The following is a 21,067-nucleotide window of genomic DNA, read 5'->3' as shown; positions in this document are numbered from 1 at the left end:
TATATCTAGAAAACCCCATTGTCTCAGCCCAAAATCTCCTTAAGCTGATAAGCAACTTCAGCAAAGTCTCAGGATACAAACAAGTGCTAGTTTTTAAAGGTTCGTTGCGGCCCATGACGCAGTTAGTGGTGGCTCATGCCAGTAATCTCAGCTACTTGGGAGGCTGAGGCAGGAGTTCGAGGCCAGCCTGGGCAACATAGCCAAGAAGCTGTCTCTACGAAAAAAATAATTTAAAAAATTAGCCTGGTCAGGTGGCATGTGCCTGTTAGTCCCAGTTACTCAGGAGGCTGAGGCAGGAGGATTGCTTGAGCCTAGGAATTTGAGGCTTCAGTGGGCCATGATCACGACGCCACTGCCCTCTAGCCTGGGTGACAGAATGATACCTTGTCTCAAAAATAAATAAAGCAATTTTAAAAAATTAAAAATAAAGGTTAGTTGTAATATGGAATCTGAAATGATAATACTATTACATTAAAATAAATTTGTCTAACTTGCCCTTTGAATGGCTTTGTCACTCATGTGTAATGTTATAACATGACATTCATTTGAAAAATACTGGTTCACTGAGTTATCCAGATACTCCAAATGTTGACACATTTCGTTACACTGTATCCAAAATCACATTCATTAATATCACTACCAATCTTAACACAAAAGTCTTTAAATGTTGAAAATTTCTAATTTTCATTTGAAAGCTTAGATTTTGTCACTGGCCAAAAAATTTTCTCAGTTGTTTTCCTTGCAGTGACTAGCTGACTTTATTTTTGAGAAAATGTCTTCCAAATACCCAAGTCTGAATAAACACTGTTTGCCAGCATTCTCTCAAATAAAGATGGTATTCAATAAAGTGACTAGTTCAACCACTGGCAATTACACAAGTGCTTTTCCTTGAGACAACCATTGTACTTAAGGTGTACAGCAGAAGCTTTATGTTCTTGAACTGTGGTCTCCAGACCAGCAGCATCAGCACCACCTAGGAACTTGTTAAGTATACAAATTGTTGGGTCCACTGTAGACCTACTAAATCAGAAACTGTAGGTGAGGCCAGTGGTCTGTGTTTTATGACCCTCCAGGTGGTTCTGATTCCATCTAAGTTTGAGAACCACCACTTCAAACTTAGAGCAATGGTTCTGTTTTGGTTGCAGATTAGAATCAGCTGGGAAGTTTATATTTTTTGTTTGTTTGTTTGTTTTGGAGACAGGGTCTCATTTTGTCACCGAGGCTGGAGTGCAGTGGCATGATCACAGCTCATTGCAGCCTCAACTTCCTAGGCTCAAATGATCCTCCCACCTCAGCCTCTGGGGTAGCTTGGACTATAGGTGTGTGCCACTATGCCTGGCTAATTTTTATTTTTATTTTTTTCTGTAGAGACACAGGTCTCACTGTGTTGTCCAGGCTGGTCTTGAACTCCTTGGTTCAAGTGATTCCACTACCCTGGCTTCCCAAAGTGCTGGGATTACAAGCATGAACCGCCCCCACCTGGCCACACCTGGGGAGTTTAGAATCTCTAATGCCTAATTATTCTTCACAATTAAGTCAGAATCTCTGAGGGTAGGATCCAGACATCAGGATTTTTAAAATTTCCCCTGATGATTCCAAAGTGCAGCCACTGCCTTAGGCTATCTTTCTGAAACAGTTCTCAACTATGTTTTTTTCTGGGACTGGACAGCTCTCTATTGAAAACGGAGCTCTCTGACAAGTTCCTGGAGTGCTAATAACTAGGCTGCTGCTGGGTAGAGACAGATGAATGTTTTCAGGATCATTTTCCCATCTTAAATAGTCAGAAAGTGCCAAATGGTGAACAAGAAGATGTCCTAGCAGAATTCAAGAATACTTCCCATTAGTTAACCCTCTTTTTTAGGAAAGTGGAAATCCTGGCAGGTCTGGTGAGGTCTTTCTGCTTTGATTACCACTGAAGCCTCCTTTTCAGCCAGCAGGGCTTGCTTTTCTACATAGCTTTTATTTCTCCAGATTGTCTTAAATTAGCAGTTCTCACCTTTACCAGACTCAACATTTCTATTTTAAAATAAATATTTTTATAACTCTTTATCATCCACAAATGAAATATACAGAGAGTGCAACCTGACTACATATATAAATTTAAAAAATCAATGTAATGCCCTGACTATATTATAAAGGATAAATGAGATTAATTTATAACAAAAATATATATGGTAGTATATAAATGCGTGGGAACGTTGACAGACATAATTGTCAGATATTGGAATATACATTTAATAATTTATTATAAAAATTTCAAACATATACTAGAGAGAGTAGTATAATGAACTACATGTTTCCACAATATCCAGCTTCAACGATTATCAATTATCAATAGCTAATCTTTTTCATTCTTACCAATGCTACCTAAAATGTGGTCCCTGGATCAGCAGCATTAGTGTTACCTGGAAGATGGTTAGAAATGCAAATTCATTGACCTTACTCCAGACCACTGAATCAGAATCTCTGAGGTAGGGTTCAGGAGTCTATGTTTTAACAATCTCTCCAGCTAATCTGTAGGTCCGCTAAGGTCTCAGAGCTACTGATCTAGATAACATTCCTACCTTCTCAGATTATTTGAAAGCAAATCCCAGATAGTACCCAGATATATTTTATCCATAAAGAATTACTTTAACTTTAAAAAATATAACCACATACTACTATGTCACCTAAGAAAAGCTTAAAACTATAATTATTTAATCTCATCAAATATATGGAATTTAAAATTTTTCTCAGATTTTCACAAATGTCTTTTTGCAGTTGATTTACTTGCATCAGTTCAAACAAGGTCTATATATTGCATTAGGTTGATATGCCTCTTAAATATCCCTCAATCTAGAATGATTCCTTTTTAAAAAAATTCCTGCCATTTATTTGTTGAAGAAGCATTTGTCACATTGTATCTCACATTCAGGATTTTGCTAATTGTGTCCCTGTGTGTCATTTTGTCATGTTCCTCTTTTTTCTGTATTTGCTGTAATCTGGTTGTTAGATCTAGAGGCTTGATCTATCAGGTTTGGCTTTTTTGGAAGGAATATTTCATAGATGAAGCTATGCCCATCCCATTATATCATAGCAGAAAGCATATCAATATCTGGGCTGTTTCTCTTTTTCAGTTAAGTTTAGTTAGTGGGTTTAAGTATTGAAAGCATAATCTAGCCTATATAAAAGTTTCCCATCAGCCCTTTATCTAATGGTCCTAGCAGCCACTGATGAGCATTGCCTAGGTCCATTTTTTTCATTAAGGGATGAAAAAATGATGATATTCTAATTTTTATCATTTCCTGATTTTATTACCTGAAATATAAAGAACTTTTTTTCATGTATTTGTATAGGAAATACAGTTTGTACAGAAAAGGCAGAGCAAATGCTCAATTTAATTCCTTTGTTAACTAGACTTCAAATAATGAATTTGAAACATCCTCTAAATGTTTACTTTTGAATGTCATGCACTATGGATTTTAATATATTTGATATTTTCAATTCACTTTAGTAATCATTATGATGCTTAAATTGTCTCACGTTTGACTAGATGGAGTTTCTTCAAGTTGGCTCCTGAGTTCTTCTGAAACAACCTTAACAGTGCGTGATGCCTTCTTACTTTTGGTTATGAAAGCTATTTCAAGCTCATCTTATACATTTCCCACACCAACCCTGGAGTCAACTATTTCTCAAAGGAGACTTGATTCCTTTTACTGGGAAATGGTTTTTAAGAGACCATAACCTGAGTGGTAGGGGAGATCATTGCTATAAGGCTATTATTCCTAGTCCTTTTCAGTGGAAAGAGCTATGAAATACATATTTTTTTTCTTTTTTCTTTTTCTGAGACAGAGTCTCACTCTGTTGCCCAGACTGGAGTGCAGTGGCGTGATCTCAGTTCACTGCAACCCCTGCCTTCCAGGTTCAAGCGATTCTCCTGACTCAGCCTCCTGAGTAGCTGGGATTACAGGTGCCTGCCACCACGCCCAGCTAATTTTTGTATTTTTAGTAGAGATGGGGTTTCACCATGTTGGCCAGGCTGGTCTCGAACTCCTGACCTCAAGTGATTCACCGGCCTTGGCCTCCTAGAGTGCTGGGATTATAGGCGTGAACCACCACACCTGACTGAAATAAATATTTTTAAAGAGAAAATTAAATCTTGAGAACATACTAATGCTTCCAATTTAAATATAAGACTATAGGAATTTTAGGTCTTTGATTTTATACTTGCATATCTTTCCTCTTACAGTAAAATTTTTGGTTCCTAATGATACTAACACAATCATTTATTTGCTTTACCCATATATACAATAAAAATATTTTCATAACAGTATCAGTATATTAATAAAAAGATAACTAAAATTCAAGATTTCTCTGTAGTTTTTTCCTTTTTTTTTTTTGAGACAGAGTCTCGCTCTGCCACCAGGCTGGAGTGCAGTGGAGCGATCTTGGCTCACCGCAACCTCCGCCTACCAGGTTCAAGCGATTCTTCTGCCTCAGCCTCCTGAGTAGCTGGGACTATGGGCGCACGCCACCATGCCCAGCTAATTTTTGTATTTTTAGTAGAGACAAGGTTTCACCATGTTGGCCAGGATGGTCTTGATCTCTTGACCTCATGATCCGCCCACCTCGGCCTTCCAAAGTGCTGGGATTACAGGCATGAGCCACCATGCCTGGCCTTCCCTTCCTTTCTTACATAAAAGTTACTGTATACCACTGTTCAGTACCTTGCTTTTAAAGTTTTTAACTTATGTCCTAGGATTGTTTAATAACAATATTTAGAGATATTACTCAGTCCTTCTTATAGTGGCATAGTACTCCACTGTGCAAATCTATTACAGTGTATTCAACCAAATTCTCTGCTGATAACATTTGGACTGAAAGATGTCTTATACTATTACAAATATTGCCATCATATCCTTGCATATTCATATTTTGTTATATTTTCTTTGGGTTAGATTCCTAGAAGATGCACTTTGGGTAAAAAGTAAATGAACTTTTTAATTTTGCTAGCTATTGCCAAATTCTTCCTATGGAAAATGTACAGTTTTGTATTTCTACCATCAATGTGTGAAAATTCTACATACTTGAAATTAGTAAGGCTGGATTTTAAAGAAGACAACATTCAAAGGAAAACTGTCATTTTTCTTTATATTTCCACTTTGAAATAGTTTAAGGAGGTATATTCATATACATACATGAGACAGGCACAAATATAGCTACAGGCATACTGTATTGGTGATTCAAATATCAGGACATTGTCATTGCCCGTGATTTAATTTTTCAAAATAGCAAAAACAATTGGTAAAGTTCAAATAACATGAACTTCATTTTACTCTTGATTTACATGGAATTTGCATTACTAAAAATTCGGTAGATATTAAAACTGTACAAAATCATTTTTGTTTATTTTTTTGAGACGGAGTGTCGCTCTGTCCGACAGGCTGGAGTGCAGTGGAGCGATCTCGGCTCACTGCAAGCTCCTCTTCCCAGGTTCCAGCAATTCTCTTGCCTCAGCCTCCCTAGTAGCTGGGACTACAGGCGTACACCACCACACCCAGCTAATTTTTGTATTTTTAGTAGAGATGGGGTTTCCCTACGTTGGCCAGGATGGTCTCAATCTCTTGACCTTGAGATCCGCCTGCCTTGGCCTCCCAAAGTGCGGCGATTACAGGTGTGAGCCACCACACCTGGCCTTTTGTTTGTATCTAAAATAGGTTTTAGACCTGGATAATTCCAGATAATGGTAAAAGTTTTTGTGTTTTGTTTTTAAAAAAACATATATGAGTATCTGCCTAGATATATGAAAATCATGAGGTATAGAGTACAATTCTTTGTTATGTGAGCGTTGCTGTGGCAGCTATAGGAGTGTACTGGTCAGCTCTTCGAGAACCTGCGGTAAACACTGTAGTTAGGGACAGCCACTTAACTGCCACACCTTGGAGTCATTGCAGGATTCATGCTGAGTACACGCTCTTCCTCTGGCTCTTCCTCCGCTGCTTTCAGCCAGTGACTGAGTCTGGTGAAGGCAGATCATTCCTGCCCAATGTGGGACTCCTCTAATGGGTTATCTTTGTTCTGATGACTCTCTGTAGGCTTGGTTATTTTCACAGAACTGCATTACAGCCTAAGGCTCTTCCTATTTTTTTTTTTTAACAGTCCAGAAGTCTTTTTTTAACACCTATTATGCCATGAATTTCTATTCTTCTTTTCTTCCTTTTCTCCATTCACAGGTGTCACTCTGGAGGCTCTTTCTGCCTACTCCCTCTTGCTTTTTATCCTTCACAGACATTTTCCCCAATAAATCTAATTCTGTCTTGGTGTCTGCTTCATGGAAGACTCAAACTGACAGCTACTACTGGGAGTGACCTCAGAAAGCAAATAGTAAGACAGGGTTTAGAGAGTCCATCACTTACCACCCAGCTGGTAAGGCCAACTCATTCTGAATGGAATTTGGGGCACAGATAGTACTTGACACAAGGTAGAAGTTCAATTGCTAAAGTTTTCACTGGTTGTGAGCTGGGAAAAAATCTCAGTGTAGGGAATATCCTTGCCTGTATAATGATTTGGGCATTTAAAAGATCTTAGTGAGCAGAGTGGTTATTACTAAGTTGTATTGATGCCCCACGGAGAGAGAATGAGAAACTTTGAAGGCTGTTTACAAACAGAGCCCAAGTGTGAGAATGAGAGGCCTCTCTTGGAGCTTATTCAAAACTGGACATAGTCATAGAGTTGATGGGTCCAGCGACAGATCATCATTACTTTAGGGGCAAAATAGGCAGATATTAAGAGATTAAGAGTGCTGCTTAACATGTACAAGCAGAAGGCAAGAATGGAGGGGCAGGAGGCTAAGGGAGGTCATTTCAATAAATGTCTTTGTTGTTCATCCTGAACTTAAGCAAATTTTCAGATCTAGAGCCCACTGACTGAGGAGGTAGCTAGGTCCCTAGGAGGACCCTGCAACATTGTGGCAAGTAGATATTTTAATGATTCCTCCTATCATTCTCCAAAAGGAGTTAGGGCATACACTTGGGTAGGGCATTTACACTGGGAAACGGGAGTGCCCAGTCATTTCAGAGGAGCTTTGGGCCTAGGGACTAAGTCGACTTTGGTAACTGGAGACCCAAAGTGTTATCATGGCTTCCCCTGTGTGTGGAAAATTATGAGAATAAGTAATAAAGTCTTAGCTAAAGTCTGCACACAGTGAATTCACTGGGTCTGAAGACCCATCTGCTAGGTATTTCTTTGTCCCTGAGTATATAATTACAACAGACATCATTGGCAGTGGAAGTACTGGGTCCTTGAGCTGTTAAAGAGCTATCATAATGAGAAGACCAACTGAAAGCCTTTGAAACTGTCCCCCACCCTAGCCAAGATAGAATATAAATGACATTGTGTCCCACAGGAGATTAGTACCACGTTTGTATCCTACAGAGTGAATGCAGGCTACCACAGCAAGTTTAAACAAGTAGTACTCTCAACTGAAACTATGCTGGACATGGTATAATTGCTAAGGCAGATTAATAAGGCCTCAGTCACATAGTTTGTAGACACTGATTTGATGGATGCATTATTTTATATTCCAATCAGAAATAAGGATAAGAAATAATTCACATTCATGTGGAGGAGACAATATTTATTTCCAGCTTTGTCCAAGGACCATGTTAACTCTTCTACTCTCTATTGTAATACAGTCAGAAGAGATCTGGACTGTCTGGACATCCAGTGTGTAACATCACATTGATATGTTATATCAACAATATTCAGACTGAGCATGATGAGCAAGATGTGGCTTGTATACTAGAGGTCTTGGTAAGACATGTATCCAGAGAGTGGGAGATACACTTTTAAGAAGATTCAAGAATTTGTGACTTCCGTAAAGTTTTTTCAAGGTCCAGTAGTCAGTGGCCTGTGGAGACATCCCCTCCAGGATAAAAGGCAAATTTCTGCATCTTGCATCTCCTACTATAATGAAGCCCAATGCCTGGTGGGCCTTTTTGGGTTCTGGAAGCAATGAATTCCATACCTAGGAATACTGCTTTGGTTCACATGTAGGCAACATGTAAGTCTGCCTACTGTGAGTGCAGAGATGAAGGCTACACATGAGCCCAAGAGCATGAATTCCTACTTACCAAGGCCAATATACCTACTTGTCTCTGAAGGTCTAATTTGCCAGCAACAGAGACCAACCCTGAGTCCCTGATATGGCATTATTACTTGAGAAGATAAACCAGCCACTTGGTGGCAAGTCAACAACACTGTGCCCTTTCCATTCTGGAGTGGCCAGCAGTTTATCCTTACAGGGATACATATTTATTCTGGGTATGGGTTTGCCTTTCTTGGCTTCAGAGCCACAGCCCATACCACTATCTAGAGGCTTAAAGAAGGCCTGATCCACAGGTATAGTATCCAACTCAACACAGGATCCAAACAGGGGATCCATTTCATAGTAAAGGTGGTATGAGTATGAACTAATGACTAAGGGATCTACTGGTTTTATCACATACTGCACCATCTGGAGCAGCCAGCCTGATAGAGCACTGGGCAACCTACTGAAGGTGCAGCTGGAGTGCCGATTTGGAGGCAATATTCTGCAAGAACAGAGTGCCACTTTTCAAGATCAGTATATATACTAAATCAGGGAGCTCTAAAGGCACTGTCCCTAATAGGAAGAATACATGGGTCCAGGAAAAAGGCAGAGGAAGAAGAAGTGGCCCTACTTACCATCCACCCAAACGACTCATCGGGGAACTTTGTGCTTTCTGTTCCTGCAACTCTGGGTTTTGAAGGTTTAGAAGTCCTGGTCCCCAAAGTGGGGTGAATTCTTGCCAGGAAATGCAAGGAAGGTCCCACTGAACTACAAGCTATGGCAACTGTTTGGGCATTTTGGACCCTTTGTGTCAAGGTGCCAGCAGGCAGGAAGAGGAATCCCCATCTTGGCAGGGGTAACTGACCTAGATCAACAGGAAGCAGAAGGGCTTCTTTTACACAATGGGCAGAGAAAAATATGTAGCCCCTAGGTGATCCACTTGGGAGTCTTTTGAGACTTACTTGTAACTGTGGAAGGACATGTACAACAATCACATGAGGTATGTGTAATTGCCAATAAATATATATTTCTCATCAGGAATGAGGATTTGGGTCACACCCAGGTTACACCACTAAGATCTGTGGAAGTGACTGCTGAAGGAGAGGAGAACTTGAAATTGGTATGGAAGAGGAAGATAAGTAGCAGTTGCAGCTTTGAAACCAACTGAGTGACAGGGATTATGGTTTGTCCCAATAACCCCCTTTGTCTAAGTTTTCCCTCAAGAAGTGAGGTCCAGAGGAATCAGAAAAGCTACTCCCAGAACATGAGAGGTTCAACAGAGAACCTGCTGGAAGGACTAGAAAGGAAAAATAGAGTTGAGGAAACCATGAAGAAGACAATATAGATGAAAATGCTTCTAAAGTTACAGAAATATCAGGAAATAATACTGATGAAGATGAAGCAGATGACAAAGATGAAGGAACCAAAAAGGAATCCTTTGACAAAATGCCTCCAGCATCCATTAAAAATGGCAGTGATTCACCTCCAAAACTCAAGATACAAAACAAAAATGCCAAGAAAATGCCTCCCAACCTGGCCTATTGAGAAGCAGCTAATGGCCAAGTAATCAAACTAGTACAGCATTTGCTAATGGCGATATGAAGATTTTCTAACAAAAAATACACAAGAGTTTGCCTGTAAGTCAGGTGAAGGGTTCCAGATCATCAACTAAAAATAAGGTTAGCTGTTATGCTAAACCTGTGACTGCAAATGAAATTGACAATGAAGTGGGACCCTCAGAGTCTAAACGAGAAAGAACAGGGGTGAATCTGTGATAAGATTATTGATGCTCTAGGCAAGGTGAAGCCACCTCTGTTAAGGTCTGGTGCTATCCCTCCTGACAACCATCAGCAAAATGGAAAAGATGCCATGAAGTTTCCCTAAGGTTTCCAAACGGTTTTTGAGGTCAAAAGAAGAAACAAATCTGCTATAATTCGATACAAAATGTGAACACTTACGCAGCCTGGGAAGTTAATTCATCTTGTTTTCCATGCAGGATCTCAACTCCCAAGCCTTATCTCCCCAAACTTCTCATTTTGTGTCCAACTTTAACCTGGATTAAAAAAAGATAAAAGAAAAAGATAAAGAAAACATCAAAATCATCACCTTGGCATGTCTTGACATGTTATGACTTATGTATATCATCTTGTTCTCCTGCTTTACAAGCAAAAGTATCTCAGTAAAGTATCATTTTTGTTTTGCTTTAAAGAGAAAGAGAGAGAGATGGAGAGAGAGAGAAAGAGAGAGAGAGAGAGAACCTGCTGTGAGGACTGTAGCTAGCTGACAGTCTTCTAGTATTATTCCTTGGAGATTCATCATGGCATTTATGATTTGGCCTTACCCTACCCAAACTTCCTCAATGGCTGAGCACAGCAGGGGTAATAGAGCCAGGCCACATCTGGTCAAATTGGAACCCCCTCAAATGGTCAGTCTTTGCTCTGTGGCTCCCTATTGGCCTGGCCAAGACATTCCTAGAGCTGTTATTATAATCTAAGGCTGTTCCTACTGAATCCACCTCCCTCTTCTCATGACATTGACATGGGTGTCAGATCTGCATCCCAGTCTCAAACTCTGCCTGCTAACTGCTTCCTCTTCCCTACAGCCATTTCCCCCAATCCATCTCTTCTATGTCTGTCTTGGTGTCTGCTTCTCTGTGGACCTGAACTGACCAAAGTCCCATTTACAGTAGGATGTCTAGCATCCCTGGCCTCTCCCACAAAGGCTGGCAGCACTGTCCTTCCAATCTTGAGGCAACTGATGACACCCTCCACTGATTTCTTTAATAAAATGTTTCTATTGAGAACCACTCACTCAGAGAATAAATCAAGATCACAAATTTTAGAGCTAGAAGAGGTCTTACAGATAAAGAAAAATTAAGGAACAGAGAAGTTTAATGACTTCCTCTATTTATTTTCTCCTTTCCTATAGTGCCGTCACCTTCTACTCATTCCCTAATCCAATTCTTGCACGTCAACTGGAACTGATAAGTTTTGAATAGTGAGTTGTAAGTATCAAAGAGGCTGCAAGCCTCAATTCAGAGAAAAATTTAGGAAATGATCACCTTCTGAAAGTGATGCTAGGAAAAAAAATCAGTATATGGTAGATAAAATTAGCCATCTGTATAAGTAACTCACCCTTGGACTTGGCTTTGAATTTATTACTTTTGTGATCAAGGTGCTTTCCAAGATTCCATCAAGTCACATGGATATAGTCTCAGGAAGACAATCTTCAAATGCGGAGGTACTGTGGAGTATAAGTAGTAGACAGTATTGTCTAAAAAAGATTCAAGAATTTTAGCTGTTTAGTTGTTTGATGAGTTTACAGCAGAGACCATTTTCACTTTAATTCAATAAATATTCATCTAATACATTTATTTACTGATTGCCTACTGTGTGCCAAGCATTATATTAAGCACAAGGCATACAATGGTAAACAGGACATGATCCTTCCCCTCAAAGAACTCATTAGTTGGAACATGTTATTTTTAATGGGGAGATATCACCCCTCAAGGGGGCAAAAAACCTTAGATATTACAATGGTCCTTGGCCCTCCAAAGAGCCACAGTACATAAACAGACATACAGTATATCTGTGATTTAAGATTTCATGGGGGTGGGAGGAGCAATGAGGAAAGTGGTGTCTAAAATGGCTGCTTAGGGGATCAATTATGAAAACAAGGCTAAGAAATACGGTCTAGAAGAAGAAAAAAGGAGAGAAAAAGAAAGAAGATGAAAGAGAAGGAAAGAAAATAAAAGTAGAATGATGAAAAAGAAAAAGGAAAGGAGGAAAGAAGAGATAATTAAAGGAGAAGGTATATGAAATTTTAAGACAAAAATAGGTTTGTCTACCACCAAGCCATATGACATATAGCTTTTTTTCCTTGACATTCTGAAATACAAGCTTATTCTTCTTACATTATTTCTGGCTCTGGCAACAAAGTATTAAAGGAAATGCAATACTGGAATGCCTACCGTTTATAAGAATTCCTTATCCTAAAGCATTCTGTTTCTTGCACAAATACTCCAAATGTCCGTACTTTTTTTCATTTAAAGCTTAAACTTACTTTGGGAGGCCGAGGCGGATGGATCATGAGGTCAAGTGATCGAGAGCAGCCTGGCCAACATGGTGAAACCTCATGTCTACTAAAAATACAAAAAAATTAGCTGGGTGTGGTGGTACGCACCTGTAATCCCAGCTACGGGGGGTGCTGAGGCAGGAGAATCGCTTGAACTCTGGAGGCAGAGGTTGTAGTGAGCCGAGATCACACCACTGCACTCCAGCCTGGGCAACAGAGCGAGACTCTGTCTCAAAAAAAAAACCAAAAAACCAAAAAACAAAAAAAAACACCCTGAAACTTGTTTGTATACATTGAAGTACAGTGAAATAAAAAATTAAAATTACACTTGTATGATAATTTCCTTATTGGGTTCCTAAAAACCCTATTATTCCATTTACCTGTAATACAAATTTTGTTAGCTTCACAATATTGAAGTCCTTAATTCATAGCAATTATTTATTTCATTTATCTGCCATAGTAGAGTAACCCATTTGTTATTGTTTGAGAGCTGATTAAATTTTTTTGCAGTTTGGATTTATCCCTAGGACCTTTCCCTTGCTCCGAGTATGAGTGCACCAACTTTCTGATTACTAGTCTGATTTCTTGGGTTATCTTGATATAAGGAAAAGAGTTCTCTTGCTAGCAAACATTAGTATTTCAGTGAATAGAAAAGTATTTCTATTAGCACTTTAAAATATGTTTTATGGTGGTATAATTAACAGAATAAAATACACATATCTTACTCAATTTGATGAATTTTGACAACTGTATATCCTGTGTAATTACCACTTGAAACAAAATATAATCTATCATCTTAGAAAGTTCCCTTGGACTCCTTTCAATCACTGTCCCCTATAACCACTTAGAAATTTCTAAAACTAGATGGTCTTTCTTGGATTTCATGCAAATAGAACAATACGGTTTGTATTCTGTTGTGCCTGGCTTCTTCTGTTTATCAAAATATTTGTGAGACTTACTCATGTTGTCAGGTATACCAGCAGTTTGTTCCTTTGTATTGCTGAGTTGTATTCCGTTGTAAGAATATATATCATTTTTAAATTGTATCTGTTTTCCTGTTGATATACATTTAGGTTATTAGTTTTTGGTTATTATGAATAAGGTTGCTCTAAACATTCTTTGTGTAAGTTTTCTTGTGAAGTTGCATTTTCGTGTCTCTTGGGTAACTAAGTGAAATTGATGAGCCATGAATAAGGTAGATGAAAGTACAATGAAAAGAAATTGCCAAGTACTTTTCCAAAGTATTTTACACTCACATCAGCAATGTGTAAGTTCCAGCTGTTTCACATCTTTGTTAATGTTTGGGCTACTACACTTTATTTCAGCACCTTGGAATGTCTGTGAAATGAAGTCCTCTGTAGATTTAATTTTCATTCCCTTGATGATCAAAGATATTAAGTACTTCCTCCATTTTTTTGTTGTGTTAAAATACACATAACATAAAAACCATTTTGTAGTGTACAGTTCCATCGTATTAAACACTGTACATTCATAAATGTGCAACCATCACCAGCATCTATCTCCAGAATTCTCTTTATCTTGTAAAACTGAAACTATACCCATTAAGCAGTAACTCCCCAGATCCCCCACCCCACCAGCCCCTGGCAAACACCATTCTACTGTCTCTGTACTTTTGACTCCTTTAAGTATCTCAGATAAGTGGAATAATATGGACCAGTACCATTCCATGGCCTGTTAGGAACTGGGCTGCAAAGCAGGGAGCAACAGGTGAGCAAGCAAAGCTTCATTTGTATTTACAGCCATTCCCCATCGCTCACATTACCGCCTGAGCGCTGCGTCCTGTCAGATCAGCGGCGGCATTAGATTCTCATAGGAGTGCGAACCCTGTTGTGAACTGTGCATGTGAGGGATCGAGGTTGTATGCTCCTTATGAGAATCATGATCTGTCACTGTCTTCCATCACCCCCAGATGGGACCATCTAGTTACAGGAAAACAAGCTCAGGGCTCCCACTGATTCTACATTATGGTGAGTTGTATAATTATTTCATATTACAGTGTCATAATAGAAATAAAATACACAAATGTAATGTGCCCGAATCATCCTGAAACCACCCCCCCACCCATCAATCTGTGGAAAAATTGTCTTCCACGAAACTGGTGCCAAAAAGGTTGGGGACCACTGTTCTATTGTATGTATATACTATATTGCTCATTCATTTATCTGTGGATGGAGACTTGTGATGTTTCCACATTTTAGCTATTGTGAATAATGCTGGTTGTGAACATGGGTGTGCAAATCTCTTTTTTTTCTAGCTCCATTTCTGAGTATGGAGAGACGTATTTTCAATTATTTTAGGTATATACCCATAAATGGAATTGCTAGATTATATAACTCTATTTTTAATTTTTTGAGGAGCCTCCATACTGTTTTCTGTAATGGCTCTACTATTTTAATTCCCATCAACAGTGCACAAGGATTCCAATTTTTCCACATCCTTGCTAATATTTTTTTTAAATAGTAGCCACCCTAATGAGTGTGAGGTGGTGTCTCATTATACTTTTGATTTGCATCCTAATGATTAGTTAAATTGGGCATTTTTTCATATGCTTATTGGCCATTTGTATATTTTCTTTGGAGAAATGTCTATTCGTGTCCCTTGCCATCTATTTACTTATTTAGAGATGGAGTCTTGCTCTGTCACCTAGGGTGGAGTGCAGTGGTGTGATCTTGGCTCACTGCAGCCTCTGCCTCCCAGGCTCAAGTGATCCTCCCATCTCAGCCTCCTGAGTAGCTGGGATTATAGGCAAGCACCACCATGCCTGGCTAATTTTTTGTATTTTTGGTAGAGATGGGGTTTTACCATATTGTCCAGGCTGGTCTTGAACTCTTGAGTTCAACTGATCTGCCCCCCTTGGTCTCCTAAAGTGCTGGGATTACAGGCATCAGCCACCATGCCCGGCCTCCTTTGCCCATTTTAAAATTGTATTCTTTGTTAGGAGTTCTCTATATATTCTGAATATCAATCACTTATCAGATATGACTTGAAAATATTTTCTCCTGTTCTGTGGCTTGCCTTTTTACTCTGTTGATAGTGTCATCTGATATACAAAATTTTAAAATTTTCATAAAGTGAAATTTGTCTATTTTTTCTTTTGTTGCCTAGGCCTTTGGTTTAATATCCAAGAAATCAATGTCAAATCCAATGCTATGAAGCTTTTGTTCTGTGTTTTCTTCTAAGAGTTTTATAGTTTTAAGTCTTATGTTTATGTCTTTTATCCATTTTGAGTTAATTTTTGTATATGGTGTTGGGTAAGGGTTCAACTTCATTCTGGGTCTGGTTTTCCCAGCACTATTTGTTGAAAAGACTGTCCTTTCCCCATTGAATGGTCTTGGCACCCTTATCAAAAACTATTTGATCATAAATGAGGGAGTTTATTTTTAGGCTCTCCATTCTATTTCATTGGTCTATGTCTGTCTTTACACCAATACTACACTGTTTTAATTACTATAGCTTTGTAGTAAGTTTTGAAATCAGTAAGTGTGAGTACTTGAGCCTTGTTCTTTTTTCAAGATTGTTTTGACTATTTCAGTTCCCTTGAGATTCCATATGAATTTTAGGATGATTTTTCCATTTCTGCAAAAATTGTCATTGGGATTTTAATAAGGATTGCATAATGTGTTGATTGTTTCATACAGTATTGACATTTTAATACTGCTCCAATCCATGAACATAGATGTGTTTCCATTTATTTATATCTTCTTTAATTTATTTTGCAATGTTTTGTAGCTTGCATGTGTAAGTCTTTCACCTCCTTGGTTAATTCCTAAGCATTTTATTCTTTTTGATGTTATCATACATCAAAATGATACTTTTGGAATTTTCTTTTCAGATTGTTGTTAGTGTATAAATAGTAAGAGCTGATTTTTGTGTGTTGACTTTGTATCCTGCTACTTTCTGAATTCATTCATTAGTTCTGTTTTGTGAAATCTTTAGGATTTTCTTCAAGATCTTATCATCTGTGACAGATATTCAGGAATTTTTAAATGTATTTATTAACCATTTGTATATCTTTCATGAAGGGAAAGTTCATGTCTTTGCTATTAGCTTAAATGAGTTATTGTTAATAACTATTTTTATTGTTAGCTTGTAGAAGTCCTTTGCCAGATACATATGTAGTGAATATTTCCCAGTCTGTAGCTTAATGGTAACTTTGAAGAGCAAGTATTTCAATAAACTCCAATCTTTCAATTTTTTTCTTTTTATGGTTAGTGTTTTTTATGTCTCATGCAATAAATATCTGCCTACTCCAAGGTTATTAAGAGATTCTTCTGTTTTCTTTTAGAAGTTTTATGGATCTTGGTTTTATGTTAGGCCTAGGAGGCATCTTGAATTTCTGGGTATGGAGATGAAAGGTTGAAGTTCTTTTTGTTTTCCCTAAATAGTTATACAGTTGTTTTAGTAATATTTATTAATCAATTTTTTTTCTTATTGAATTGCTTTGATGCCTTGGTCAAAAATGAAATGACTTTATATGTATAGATCTATTTTTAGACTTTAATCTGTTCTATTTAACTACTAGTTTATCCTTTGGAAATAACAGTCTTGATTACTATAACTTTATAAAAGGCTTGAAATCAGGTAGTATGTCTTCCAATTTTGTTCTTTTTAAAGATTATTTTGGCTATTCTAGATCCTTCATTTTTTCACATAAATTTTGGATTTTGTCCTAAAAAAAAAAGCCTGCTGGATTTTTTTTTGTGAGATAATTTTGTATTTTTATTTCAATAGTTTTTGGAAAAAGGTGGTTTTTGTTACATGGATAAGTTCTTTAGTGGTGATTTATTAGATTTTGGTGCAACCATCAACCTAGTAGTATACACTGTACTCAATGCATAGTTTTTTATTCCTTAACCTGCTGGAATTCTGATATGGAAAATCCACAAATCAATTTAGGAAGAATAGACAGGATAATATTACTGAGTGTTCCCATCCATGAATATAAAATATTTCTCTATTATTTAAGTCTTCTTTAATTATCTTCTATCCATGTTTTGTGTTTGCTCTTTTTTTTTTTTTGAGACAGGGTCTCACTCTGTCACCCAGGCTGGAGTGCAGTTGCACGATCTCAGCTCACTGCAGCCTTCACCTCCTGGGTTCAAGTGATTCTTGTGCCTCAGCCTCCAGAGTAGCTGGGATCACAGGTGCACACCACCACACTCGGTTAATTTTTGTATTTTTAGTAGAGACGGGGTTTTGCCATGTTGGCCAGGCTGTCTCAAACTCCTGACCTCAAGCAGTCCACCTGCCTCAGCCTCCCAAAGTGCTGGAATTATAGGCATGACCCACTGCACCCGGACTCATTTTATTGTTTTTCAATACAGAGATCTTGCACATCTTGTGTTAAGTTTATTCCAAGGTTTCAGATGTTTCTGGATACATTATAAATGGTATTGTTTACAATTCCACTTTCTATTGCTAGTATATAGAATTGATTTTTGCTATACTGAGCATGTATCTTATCACTTGTTAAATGAAGTTACTATTTCTTGTACTTTTTTTTTTTTTTTTTTAGACAGAGTTTTGCTCTTGCTGCCCAAGCTGTAGTGCAATGGCATGATCTCGGCTCACTGCAACCTCCACCTCCCGAGTTCAAGCGATTCTTTTGCCTCAGCCTCCCAAGTAGCTGGGATTACAGGCATGCACCACCACGCCCAGCTAATTTTCTGTAATTTTGGTAGAGACAGGGTTTCTCCATGTTGGTCAGGCTGGTCTCAAACTCCTGACCTCAGGTGATCTGCCCGCCTCGGCCTCCCAAAGTGCTGGGATTACAGGCGTGAGCCACCGCACCCCACACCTGGCCTCTCTTACCTTTTTTATATATTCCATAGGGTTTTGTATGCACACAATCATATTGTCTGTGAATATAATTTTACAATAGTCTCCCCTTACCTGCAGTTTCGGTTTCTGTGGTTTCAGTTACCTGTGGTCAACCTTGGTCCAAAAATACTAAATGGAAAATTCTAGAAATAATTCATGTTTTAAATTGCGGGCTGTCCTGAGTAGCATGATGAAATCTCATGCTACTCTGTTCCATCGTGCCTGGAATCATCTCTTTGTCTAGTATATCCATGCTGTATATGCTACCCACCTGTTAGTCACTTAGTAGCCAACTTGGTTATAAGATCATCATTATTATGATGCTGGTGTTCAAGGTCCATAGTAGCCTAAAACTATGTCACAATGCCTACCTCATTCACTTTACTTCCTCTTGTCATGTAGGTATTTTATCACCTCACATTATTGCAAGAATAGTACAGTATCTTGGGAGACCAGTCACATACCTTTTATTACAGCATATTGTTATAACTGTTCTATTTCATTATTGTTGTTAGTCTCTTACTGGGCCTAATTTATAAATTAAACTTTATCATAGGTATGTATACATAGAAAAAAAATAGAGTGTATATAGGGTTTGGCACAATCCATTGTTTCAGGTTTCCACTGGGGGTCTTGGAATGTATCCCCAGCAGATAAGGGGGAACAACTGTACTTATTCCTTCCCATTTTAAAAATTGAGATTTGATTCACATGCCATAAAATTCACTTTTAAGGCATATAATTTGGTGATTTTTAGCATATTCAGAAAGTTGTACAACCATCACCACTATTTTACTTCAGGATATCTTCATCATTCCAAATATAAACTCCATACTTACTAGCAGTCAATCTCCACTGTCCCAGTCCCCAGCCCCTATTAATCTATTTTCTTTCCCTATGGATTTGCCCATTATTGACATTTCATATAAATGGAATTATATAAAATGTGGCTTTCACTTAGCATATAATGTGTTTAAGGTTCATCAATTTGTAGCATGAATCAGTAGTTCATTCCTTTTAATGGCTGAATAGTATTCCATTGTATGGATACACCATAGTCTGTTCATTCATTCACCAGTTGATGGGCATTTGTGTTGTTTCTACTTTTGGTCATTATGAATAATGTTGCTATGAACGTTTGTGCACAAGTTTTTGAGTGAATGTATTTTCCAATTTACATAGGTATATATCTAAGAGTGAAATTGCTGGGTCATATGGTAAACTTATGTTTAACCTCTTGAGGAACTGCCAAACTATTCCCAAAGTAGTGGCAACATTTTTAATTCCCATCACCAGAGTATGAGGGTTCCAATTTCTCCATGTCCTAACACTTGTTCTTGTCCATTCGTTAAAAAAATTACAGCCATCCTAGTGAAGTGGTATCACCTGGTTTTGATGTGTATTTCCCTAATGACTAATTACATTGAGCATCTTTTCATGTGCTTATGGCCATTTGTATATCTTCTTTGATGTTTATTGAAATCCTTTGTCCATTTTTAAATTGGATTTTTATTGTTGAATTATGAGTTCTTTATATTCTGAACAGTGCACCCTTACCAGATATATGATTTTCAGAATATTTTCTCCCATTCTGTGGGTTGTCTGTTCACTTTCTTGATACTGTTCTTTGAAGCATTTTTTTTTTTTTTTGAGATGGAGTCTTGCTCTGTCACCCAGGCTGGAGGACAGTGGCACAATCTTGGCTCACTGCAACTTCTGCCTCCTGGGTTCAAGCAATTCTCCTGCCTCAGCCTCCCGAGTAGCTGGGATCACAGGTGCACGCCATTATACCTGGCTAATTTTTGTATTTTTAGTAGAGACGGGGTTTCGCCATGTTGACCAGGCTGGTCTTGAACTCCTGACTTCAGGTGATCCACCTGCCTTGACCTCCCAAAGTGCTGGGATTACAGGCATGAGCCATGGCGCCCAGCCTGAAGCATAAAGGTTTTGATTTTGATGTTTTAATTTTAATGCATTCATTTTTCCCTTGGTTGTGCTTTTTGTCACATCAAAGAAGCCACTGCCTAATTCAAGGTGATAAGGATTTAGTTATATTTTTTTCTAAGAGTTTTATAATTTTAGCTCTTGTGTTCGGATCTTTGGTTCATCTTAATAGTCATAAATGGTGTGAGGTAGAGTTCCAATTTAATTTTTTTCCTCATGTGGCTATCCAGTTTTACCAGTTCCATTTGTTGAAAAGACTACTCTTTCTCCAATTGAGTTGTATTGGTGTTTTGCTGAAAGTCATCTGACCATAAATATAAGGCTTTATTTCTGGACTCAATTATATTCCATTGATCTGTACTCCTATCTTTATAAGAGTATAGTACTATCTTGATTACTGTAGCTTCATAGCAAGTTCTGAAATCAGGATATCTGAGTCTTCCCAGTCTTTACGCTTTTTCTTATTGCTTTTTTGCATTGATTAGGGCCTCCAATTTCCTAAATAGAAGCGGTGAGAGCAGAAAATTCTTGTCTTACATTTGTTATTCCTGATCTTAGGAGAAAATGATTTAATATTTCACCATTAACTTTTTCAAATCATTGAGGAAATTCCCTTCTATTCCTAGGCTGCTTAGAGTTGGTTTTTTTTTTTTTTTCTAAAACATTAATGGGCTTTGAATTTTGTCAAATCCTTTTTCTGCATTTATTGAAACAATTTTTTTTCTCTTTTGTTCTGTTAATGTGATGAATTACACTGATTTTTCAATGTTAAGTTCACTCTCCTTGGTCATGGTATGTAATCCTCTATATTGCAAGTTCAATCTGCTAATACTTAAGAATTTATATATATATATATATTCATGAGGACTATCAGTCTATAATTTTCTTGCAAAATGTCAAATTTTGGTATCAGGAAAAATAATTTGGCATGATTATGCTTGCCTCATAAAATGAGTATAGAAGTATTTCTCCCTGCTCTGTTTCCTGAAATGGTGTAGGATTGGTACTTTGTCCCCCTTAAATGTCTGATAAAATTCACTGGTGCAGTCATCTGCCCGGAGTTTTCTTTGTGGCAAGTGTTTTGCTTATAAATTCAATTTTTTTAACAGACACTGAAACATTTAGATTTTCTTTTCCTTC

The 21,067-nt window shown here is 37.9% G+C and overlaps 1 long non-coding RNA gene across 2 annotated transcripts in view; it reads right to left on the bottom strand.

Annotated features, from left to right (window-relative positions):
* The window catches only part of LOC102724960 (uncharacterized), a 66,649-nt gene extending 55,328 nt beyond the window's left edge, over positions 1 to 11,321 (bottom strand). For both annotated transcript variants that reach the window (XR_945224.3, XR_429176.3), the window contains exons 1-2: positions 11,203 to 11,321; positions 10,027 to 10,121 (exon numbers count right to left, since the gene is read on the bottom strand). This is a non-coding gene — a long non-coding RNA (uncharacterized LOC102724960). The remainder of the gene's footprint in view (positions 1 to 10,026; positions 10,122 to 11,202) is intronic.

Source organism: Homo sapiens, chromosome 12 (genome assembly GCF_000001405.40).
Source record: "Homo sapiens chromosome 12, GRCh38.p14 Primary Assembly".
In the NCBI taxonomy this organism is placed as follows: domain Eukaryota; kingdom Metazoa; phylum Chordata; class Mammalia; order Primates; family Hominidae; genus Homo; species Homo sapiens.
Note: the sequence above shows the minus strand (reverse complement) of the source record. Positions and strands in the feature narration are given on the sequence as shown.